We start from the raw sequence: 10,729 nt of genomic DNA on the forward strand, positions 1-10,729 counted from the left end.
CTTTTTCCATAAAGGCCAGAAAGTAAATATTTTAGGCTTCATGAACCTTGTGGTCTCTGCCCCAGTTACCCAACTCCACAGTGATATCACTAAGCAGCCATAGACAATACCTATAGAGTGAACATGACTGTATTGTGATGAAACTTTATTTACACAAACAGGTGGCAGGACAGATTTGTACCTGGGAGCCATAGTTTGTTGACCTCTGACCTGAGTGAGTGATTTTGGTAAACTGGGTGAGTGGTAAGAACCATAGAATAGGGTTCAAACAGGACAAGTTTAAGAGAGTAACATAAAGGAATAAAAAGAAACTACAGCCATCTTATGTGAATATGTAGCGTCGACAGAAAGAGATAAAGGAGCCATCCTGGACTGTGAGCTGTAATACATAATTGTAGTTCAAGATAAAGGCAAGGTCCAAAATACATCTATAACTGGTAAGAGCTCAAGGAGGTGAACCTGTCTACAGAGGATTCAGGCCTTCCAGGAACATCACCATGGACCTTCATGAAAAGGGGGTCATGGAAGACCATCTGTGAGGAATCATGAGCTCTGGAAAGTCAGGGTGCAAGTTTATTTTTTTTCTTTGTGACCCCAACAGTGTTCCCACCATAAGAATATAAAAGAATCGTGTAGAAAATACTTGTTCATAAGTCAGACGCAGGCAAGCTTTAATAGAGAATACTGAGTTTTAATAATAGAATTATTTAGAAAATACTTAGGCCGAGCATGGTGGCGGCTCACACCTGTAATCCCAGCACTTTGGGAGGCTGAGGTGGGAGGATCACTTGAGGTCAGGAGTTCGAGACCAGCCTGGGCAACATGGTGAAAACTGTCTCTACTGAAAATACAAGAATTAGCCAGGCATGGTGGTGCATGCCTGTAATCCCAGCTACTCAGGAAGCTGAGGCAGGAGAATCACTTGAACCCAGGAGGCGGTGGTTGCAGTGAGCTGAGATCACACCACTGCACTCCAGCCTGGATGAGAGTGAGACACTGTCTCAAAAAAACAAAAACAAAAAAATATAAAAATTAGCCAAGTGTGGTGACATGCACCTGTAGTCCCAGCTACTTGGGAGGCTGAGGTGGAAAGATCACATGAGCCTGTGGAGGTCAAGGCTGCAGTGAGCCATGATCACGCTACTGCACTCCAGCCTGAGTGACAGAGTGAAACCCCCCAACCAAAAAAAAAAAAAAAAAGCCAGGTATAGTGTGTAGCGGTAGGTTCCTGTAGTCCCAACTACCTGGAAGGCTGAGACAGGAGGATCCCTTGAGCCCAGGAGTTCCAGGATACAGTTAGCCATGATCACGCCACTGTACTCCAGCCTGGGTGACACAGTGAGACCCTGTCTCTAAAAAAAAAAAAAAAAGCTTAAAAATATAGGGAAATCAGCTGGGCGTGGCAGCTCAAGCCTGTAATCCTAGCACTTTGGGAGGCCAAGGCAGGCAGATCAGTTGAGGCCAGGAGTTCGAGACCAGCCTGGCCAACATGGCAAAACCTGTCACTACTAAAAATACAAAAAAATTAGCCAGGTGTGGTGGCACAGGCCTGTAGTCCCAGCTACACTGGAGGCCGAGGCAGGAGAATCGCTTTAACCTGGGAGGCAGAAGTTGCAGTGAGCTGAGATTGCCCCCCTGCACTCCAGCCTGCGTGACAGAGCGAGATTCCATCTCAAAAAAAAAAAAAAAAATAAAGAAAGAGAAATTGGCACTTATGTACCACTGGTAGAAATATAAATTAGTATGATTTTCCTAGAGGGACCTTTAGTGAAACAAGAAAACCTTTCAAATATTCATACTTTTTAAATAAATTTTTACTTTGAGATATGATACATAGGATATAATTACAACTACTTACAAATGTATATATGAAGATGAGATCATATTGCTGTTTATAAGAGAGAAAAAATTGAAAAATGCTTGAAATACACAATTATAACCATTTGGCTAAAAATTATGCTACAATCATAGAATGGTAGAAATTCTATCTAGCATTAAATTATTGCACAAATTAATATTGACATACTTATGAAAGATGTGGATGGTTCATATATGGATAAGTGAGAAAAGCAAGTTATTAGAAAGTATTTATATTATGATAACATTTTTCACTCATGTATATGTAGAATTCTGCTTCTGGATATGGCTGACTAGTTTATTTCAGAGCAATCCTGCCATTAAGAATGACTAGAAAAGCTAGACAGAATAGTTAACAAGGGAAAATCCAAAACCCATGTGCTTGGAATTATCAGAGAACTAGCAAGGCAATTTGTAGAGCCAAGATCCAGAAGAGATGGAAGCTAAGAGAGGCAAGCCTGGCACCGGGCACTGCATCTCTCCTTGAGGCAGTTGCTAATTTGGAAGACAACTGAGTGGCAAAAGGGAAAACAGAGGTTTAGCACTTTGACAGGGCCAGGTGGGCACAGTTTGGGTTTCAGTGCCCTTTATGGAAGAGAAGTTCTGGCAAACAATCCAGGCTTTTGATTGGGACCACAAAGCACTCCATTCTTAGAGTAAGGGTGAATGGAAAATAGACTAACTCTCACAAGGAATGAAGTCCAGCTTCAAATCAGCTCAAAAAATTAGATTAAGATCTTATGCCCCTAGCCCACTTATTTTTATTTATTTATTTATTTTTTAAATTGAGACGGAGTCTCACTCTGTCTCCCAGGCTGGAGTGCAGTGGTGCAATCTTGGCTCACTGCACCCTCTGCCACCCGGGTTCAAGAGATTCTCCTGCCTTAGCCTCCCAAGTAGCTGGGACTATAGGTGAGCACCACCATACCCAGCTAATTTTTTTGTATTTTTAGTAGAGATGGGGTTTCGCCATGTTGGCCAGGCTGGTCTCGAACTCCTGATCACAGGTGATCCGCCCGCCTCGGCCCGGCAAAGTGCTAGGATTACAGGCGTGAGCCGCCGTGCCCGGCCTCCCCTAGCCCACTTTATGCCGGAAGTAAACATGAATCCTCTCTGGAGGAAGATACTATCATCTAAAGCCTCAAACCATCTCTGCATTTTTTCATACACTATGTGTGGTACTCAATAAAAAATACTCCAGGCAAAGTAGAAAAGTAGAATAGAACTTACAAAATAAAATCAGGTATACAAAAAGATAACACTTGACAAAAGCCGGGAGAAGAAGCATACAATGTGAACTCACGCATAGGAGACATGGAAGTGCTGAGCATGAAATTAGAATCAACATGACTAACACATTCAAGAGATTAAATGACAAGATGGAGAATTTTGAGACAATTGGAAACTATAAAAAAGAGTTAAAATTCTGGCCAGGTGTGGTGGCTCATGCCACCAACCTTGCAGTGAGCCAAGATCACGCCACTGAACTCCAGCCTGGGTGACAAAGCAAGACTCCGTCTCAAAAAAAAAAAAGAAAGAAAGAAAGAAAGAAAATCTACAAATGAAAATACAATAGTTCAATGTTAAAAACAAAAACAAAAACAAAACAAAACAAAAAAACAAAGAATAATGGGTTTAAAAGCTGATTAGACCAGGTGCGGTGGCTCACGCCTGTAATCCCAGCACTTTGAGAGGCCAAGGCGGGTGAATCACCTGAGGTCAGGAGTCAGAGACCACCCTGGCCAACATGGAGAAACCACATCTCTACTAAGCATACAAAAATTAGGCAGGTGTGGTAGCACACGCCTCTAGTCCCAACTACTCGGGAGGCTGAGGCAGGAGAATCACTTGAACCCGGGAGGCAGAGGTTGCAGTGAGCTGAGATCACGCCACTGCACTCCAGCCTGGCCGACGGAGCAAGACTCTGTCTCAAAAAACAAACAAACAAAAAGAGCTAATTAGATACAACTGAAGAGAGATTTAATAAATGGAAAACAGTGTGTGTGTTTGTGTGTATGTGTGTGTATGCAGTGATGCACTGATGCTCAATATATAATGTTGAATAAAAGAAGGCAGGTATAAAAGAATACTATAAATACCAAGGAGTACTGCATGGTTCTACTTACATAAAATTCAAAATCAGACAAAACTAATCTATAGTGTCAGACATCCACAGAGTAGTTACATTTAGGAAAGATAAAGAGAACAAGGTGTGGGAATTAAGGAGGGGTGGGGGGTCTATGTCTTGACCTAAGGTATGGTTGGTTACACTATTGAATCCACTTTGAGTTATTTATCAAGCTGTTCATGATTTGTGTATTTCTCTCTGTGTGTTACATGTCAATAAAATACTTACTAATATATATGTGGGCTGGGGATGTGGTGGCTCATGCCCGTAATTTCAGCAACTTGGGAAGCCAAGGCAGGAGGATCACTTGAGCCCAGGAGTTTGAGACCAGCCTGAGCAAGGTGGTGAGACTCCATCTCTACAAAAAATTAAAACATTTATCCAGGCATGATGGTGCACACCTGTAGTCCCAGCTACTCAGGAGGCTTGAGCCCAGAAGGTTGAGGCTGTAATGAGCCAAGATGGCACTGCAGTACTCCAGCCTGGGCAGCAGAAGGAGACCCTGTCTGAAAAAAAAAAGTAAAATTAAAAAATGTATATACACACATATAAATCTGAAATGCTATTAATAGAGGTTATCTTTGAGCAGTATGGATAACTTTTTTGTTTGTTTTTTTCTACAGTAGTCATGGATTCTTTTTGAAAAAGGAAATTGAAAAAAGAAAAAGATGGCCAGGTGCGGTGGCTTACGCCTATAATCCCAGCACTTTGGGAGGCCAAGGCAGGCAGACCACCTGAGGTCAGGAGTTCGAGACCAGCCTGGAATGCAACATGGTGAAACCCCGTCTCTACTAAGAATACAAAAATTACCTGGGCAAGGTGGCAGGCACCTGTAATCCCAGCTACTTGGGAGGCTGAGGCAGGGAGAATCCCTGGAACCGGGGAGGCGGAGGTTGCAGTGAGCCAAGATCACACCACTGCACTTCAGCCTGGGGGACAGAGTGAAACTCCATCTCTGAAAAAAAAAAGAAAAAAGAAAACAAAAGAAAAAAAAGAAAGTAAATGCTGACCAGTATTTACTTATTAAAATTCTTCTGATGCCAGAGTAAAAGGAAAAGGGATTTAGATTTGGTTTTAAAAAGAACCTCCTAGATCTAAATGTAGTTAAACAGATAAAATCATGGATTCTTCTTCCCTGGAGGCCTTTCAAAATAGCATAATTGTTATGTATGGTCTTCACTGAAGCTGTGGCTGTAAACCAGAGAACTTCTTAAGATTCATTTTGAATCTATGATCCTATAGTTTTTGATATGAGAGAGATATAGTCAAGGACATTCTTTTATGGTAGGTTTATCTTAAAGCAGTGAGCTAGGGAGGGGCCAGGAAAAATATGTAATTATATCTTCACAGTCTATAGACATCCCATAATTATAGACAAACTGTGACAAATTAGCATAAATGCCATTCATGAACAATTATGAACTGAGTGCCGGCATGAGTCAGACTGATCAGAAAACTAGGATATGATGGTAAACAAAATGAAATCCATGCTCTCATGGAGGATATATTCTACTCTGAAACAAACAAATACACAGCACATCAAATGCGATAAAGTGTGATGAAGAAAACCAAAGCAGAATAAGGATAAAGAAGGATGGCGGGAGGAGGGTTGTACAGGGTGAGCTGGTTTAGACAGGACAGACAGGGAAGGCCTCTGTGTCTCAGGACGTTTGGGTGGACACCTGGATTAAGAGAGGAGTGATCCAAGTGGCTTTCTATACTTGAGCAGTCCAGGAAGAGGGAGTGTGCCTGGAACATTTCTGAAGTCACGAGAAGGTGTGTCTGGGGCGGTGTGAGCAGGCAAGGGAGCATGGTAAGAGATGGGGTCTCCTAGAGCAGATCACGTAGGGACCTGTGATCCACCCTAAGGACTTTGAACTGATCTTTGGGAGATGGGAAGCTGTTGGGGAGTTTGGAACAGAGGCAGGAGATGATCTGGCTGAAGTTTTAAATGTATCTGGCTGGCTGCACAGTAGAGAACTGATGGTGCCAGGGCTACTGTGGGGTAAGACCAGTGAGAGGCCCTTGCTCTTCTCTAGGTAGGACATGATGGGGGACTGGACCACAAAGGTATTATAGGAATAGTGAAATGGAATATAATTCCGGATCTGTTTTGAAGGCAAAGACAATAGGATGTGTTGCTGGAGTAGATGTAGAGTATAAGAGAAAGAGAAGACTTGAGGATGATTCTAGGGTTTTGGGGGTGAGAAACTAGTAGATTGGAAATGCAGCGCTCATTGAAATGGGATAGTCTTGAGATGTGCAGTTTGGGGGTATGGGCTGTATTAGAATCAACTCACTTCTGTTATTACAGAGGAGGAAGCAACTCTAAAGATAGGGCAGCAGAATGGATGAGGAATACCAGGCCCACATTTTTTTTTTTTTTTTGAGATGGATTCTTGCTCCGTCCCCCAGGCTGGAGTGCAGTGGTGTAATCTCGGCTCACTGCAACCTCTGCCTCCTGGGTTCAAGTGATTCTCCTGCCTCGCCCTCCCAAGTAGCTGGAAATAACACACGCGTGCCACCATGCCTGGCTAATTTTTGTATTTTGAGTAGAGATGGGGTTTCACCATGTTGGCCAGGCTGGTCTCCAATTCCTGACCTCAGGTGATCCACCTACCTCAGCCTCCCAAAGTCCTGGGATTAAAGGTGTAAGCCACTGCACCTGGCCCAGCTCACATTTTGATAGTGCCTTTGCAAATTAAGCATACCACAGAGAGGCTTATAATCCTATCAGTTTTCTTTGTAAACTTACAAAGCTTTTTTTTTTTTTATGGCTAAACAGATAAAAGATAACATTTGTCATGTTTGCCATGTTTAGCGTACAGTTCAGGGGCACCAGTACACTCACCTTGTTGCGCTACAGCCCCCACCCTCCATCTCCAGAACTTTTGCATCTTCCCAAACTGAAACTTTGTGCCCATGAAACCCTAACTCCCACCCTCCTCCTGCCAGCCCCATAACCGCCATTCCACTTTCTCTCTATGAATCCTACCACTCTGGGTACTCACGTAATCCTATGAATTTTAAAAGGTATTCGTTATTCATGTTGTTCAAATCACTTTTCTTTTGGCAATTGTTGCATTTTAACAGGGTTACAGTTAAGGCAAACCATAATCTGCATACCTGGAATCCATTTTAGGTCATACGCATCCTTACCTCTGACCTTTCCTTTACCTTCCTTTACCTTTACCTTCCTGGATGTTTTCACTCCTTCTGGCAAGCTCCCCCTCACCTCTTGCACCTCCAATTAGGTATTCCTCCTTCAGTTTCCATAGCACCTCAAGGGGCCTGCTATTATATTTCTTACCAAATATTCTTACCAAATATATTATGATCATCTCTTTTTTTTTTCTGGCTCATCAGATAGACAAGTTCAATTATCTTTGTGTACCCAGTAGCTGACTTAGGACTTGACACTCAAGAAAATGTGAAAGGAAAGACAGTGGGCTGGGAGGAAAGGAAGCCAGGAAAGATCTAGAATACATTGTCTCCCCATTACCTGAAGGTTATGGGACTGCAATAGGGCCACCTTGCTTCGGTTTACTCCTGGTCCATTAAGCCAGATGAGATGTAGGTGTATTCCAGAAAAGTTGTTCAGTGTGATGAAATGGAAAACCATTAAATGATAACTTCTGGAAGCATCCTAATATCTTCCCACTATTGTAATTGTATTAAGTCTGGAATTATGGACCATAGCTATCCAGTGAACTTTCTGAAATGATGGAAATGTTCTGTATCTGTGCTGCCAGTAGAGTAGCTGCCAGCCATGAGTGGCTATTTGGATAGCTCAGCTATGGACTCTTAATATGGGAAGTCATATTTTCTAATTTCCTCACTTAACAGATGAAGAAACTCTGTCTTAAAGAAGCAGTGTTAGGCCAGGCGTGGTGGCTCACACCTGTAATCCCAGCACTTTGGGAGGCTGAGATGGATGGATCGCTTGAGGTCAGGAATTCGAGACCAGCCTGACCAACATAGTGAAACCCCCGTTTCTACTAAAAATACAAAATTAGCTGGGTGTGGTGACACATGCCTGTAATCTCAGCTTCTTGGGAGGCTGAGGCAGAAGAATCACATGAACCCAGGAGGCGGAGGTTGCACTGAGCCAAGATCGCACCACTGCAGTCCAGCCTGTGCAACAAGAGTGAAACTCCATCTCAAAAAAAAAAAAAAAAAAAAAAAAAAAAAAGCAGTGTTGACTGAGCACAGTGGCTCACACCTGTAATCCCAGCACCACTCTGGGGGCCCAGGAGTTCGAGACCAACCTGGGCAACTTCGAGAAACCCCATCTCTACAAAACAATACAAAAATTAGCCAGGTATGGCAGCACACACCTGTAGTCCCAGCTACTCAGGAGGCTGAGGTGGGAGGATCCCTTGAGCCTGGGAGGTGGAGGTTGCAGTGAGAGGAGACGGGAGATCGTGCCACTGCATTCCAGCCTGGGTGACAGAGGGAGACCCTGTCTAAAAAAAAAAGGAAAGAAGCAGTGTTATTTGCCCAACTTCCTATGTCCCGATTTGGTCACTACTCATTCCTAATGTGACCTTTATGTTGAAATCCTCTTCTGTAGAAATTTTGCATTTTCAGATAGCAGACCAAATGTAATCCTTACAGACTAGTAAGTCATAAGCCACTTAACAAAAGACTGTAAGTGCAACTATATTTAGAAAAATGTGATTTTCTCAATAAAGAATCTTAAAAGTTATGATGTTTGTAATAAATGATATACTATGTCTCATCTGATGATGATTTTTCTTAGGTGGAATTGTTTGTTGAGTCTCAGAACTAGCTGCACATAACCTTACTCTAGTGGTAAAGTGAACATCTGAACAAAGAACCCAATTTCTGAGACTTTACTTTCTCCTCTAGAGAATAATGAACTGGGGACACATAAAATAACCGAAAAATGACTATGTGGAGTAAATGTCACTTCTGGGGTCAAAAGCACTTTCACATCTGTATAGCTTATGCGTTGGGGCAAAGAGGCTGGAGTTGTATGCTTAGGTGACAGTGGTCAGGCAGGAATGGTGGAGGGCTGAGGGGATGATAGGACATTCTCCTATAATAATCAACACAACTCTTGTGAACCTGCTGTGTACCAGGTCCCATAGCCTAGAGAACCTTCTTTTCAATAGCTTAGACTAAGCTCTATTTCTCTTTGTACTTTTCTTGCATGTTCACCCAACAAATCTCCAACACTAGATGGACCAAACGTTCACCTGTTGCATCCTGCCCTTGGGCAGCTGAGTAGCTAGCGTAAATCTCTCTGTACAGCCTGCTGGCTATAGGCTTCAGGTCACTAGTCTGTCTGTCTGTCTGTCTGTCTGTCTGTCTGTCTGTCTGTCTCCCTATCTCTCTTTAGAGATGGGGTCTTGCTATGTTGCCCAGGCTGGTCTCAAACACTTGGCCTCAAGCTATCCACCCCCCTTGGCCTTCCACAGTCCTGGGATTATAGGCATGAGCAGCCACACCCGGCCAGGGTCACCAGTCTCAAATGGGCCCTAACTCTGCCTGCAGACACCTCTGCTGCTCTAGGTGGTCATTCTTCCTGTGCCCTTTACCACCCAGCACTCCCACTTCCATCCATCTCTCTTAGCCATGACCTTCACTCCTGCTTTCCCAAGAACAGAATCCATCAGAAGAGAGATGGTTCTGAATCTCACCACCACGTCTGTAAACCTATTGACATTGGTCCAAATCCTCTCTTGTTGTTATAAAGGGGATGTGCCCTTTCTCACATCTGAGTCCACTTCCTCCACCGCCCCCTTCTCAGTGACCTCATGCTATCTCTGGTTCCCTATCACTTCTGTATCTTAAGTTTCTCATTTTGACTCAGTCTTTCCAATCAGCATTTAAACATGCTCATGCCTCTTCCATTTTAAAAGAAACAAAAACAGGCCAGGTGTGGTGGCTCAGCCTGTAATCCCAACACTTTGGGAGGATGAGGTGGGTGGATCACAAGGTCAGGAGTTCAAGACCAGCCCGGCCAAGATGGCGAAATCCCATCTCTACTAAAAATACAAAAATTAGCTGGGCCTGGTGGCGGGCGCCTGTAATCCCAGCTACTCGGGAGGCTGAGGAAGAGAATTGCTTGAACCCAGGAGGTGGAGGTTGCAGTGAGCTGAGATCGCGCCACTGCACTCCAGCCTGGGCGACAGAGCGAGACTCCATCTCAAAAAAGAGAAAAAAGAAAAACAACCTTCCTTCCACCTCACATACCTCTCCAGCTACCATTGCAGTACCTCTTTCCCTCCACGGACAAACTTCTTGGAAGTGTGTTCCATTCCTTTACCTTATCCTCCCTTCTCAGACCCCTCCAACCTGGTGCACACCCCCACCAGTCCTCAGAAACCATGTAGCCATATTCAATTCACCATAACCTAGGCAGATATAGTTCATGGGCAATTTGCAGCCCTCTGTCTTTTCACCATGGCACCTGACATAGTTGGCTATGCTGGCTTCTGGAAGCAATCTCTTCCATTGACATTTGTATTATAATGTTCTTCTGGTTGCCTCTGACCTTTGAGGTTTCTCCTTCTTAGTATCCCCAGTGGGCTTAATAAGTATTACCCATCCTTTATTGTATTGTATTGTATTTTTTTATTTTTTTTATTTTTTGAGATGGAGTCTCGCTCTGTCGCCCAGGCTGGAGTGCAGTGGCGCAATCTCGGCTCACTGCAAGCTCCACCTCCTGGGTTCACGCCATTCTCCTGCCTCAGCCTCCCAAGTAGCTGGGACTAC

At 43.7% G+C, this 10,729-nt stretch overlaps 1 annotated feature.

Moving 5' to 3' along the window:
• Positions 9,976-10,025: an enhancer, noted in NCBI's record as "active region_7920". NCBI's record gives its function as "activates an Ori minimal core promoter by ATAC-STARR-seq in GM12878 lymphoblastoid cells {active_cell/tissue: GM12878}" and the evidence as "EXISTENCE:reporter gene assay evidence [ECO:0000049][PMID:35858748]".

The sequence above is a fragment of the Homo sapiens genome, chromosome 13, assembly GCF_000001405.40.
Source record: "Homo sapiens chromosome 13, GRCh38.p14 Primary Assembly".
Lineage (NCBI taxonomy): Eukaryota > Metazoa > Chordata > Mammalia > Primates > Hominidae > Homo > Homo sapiens.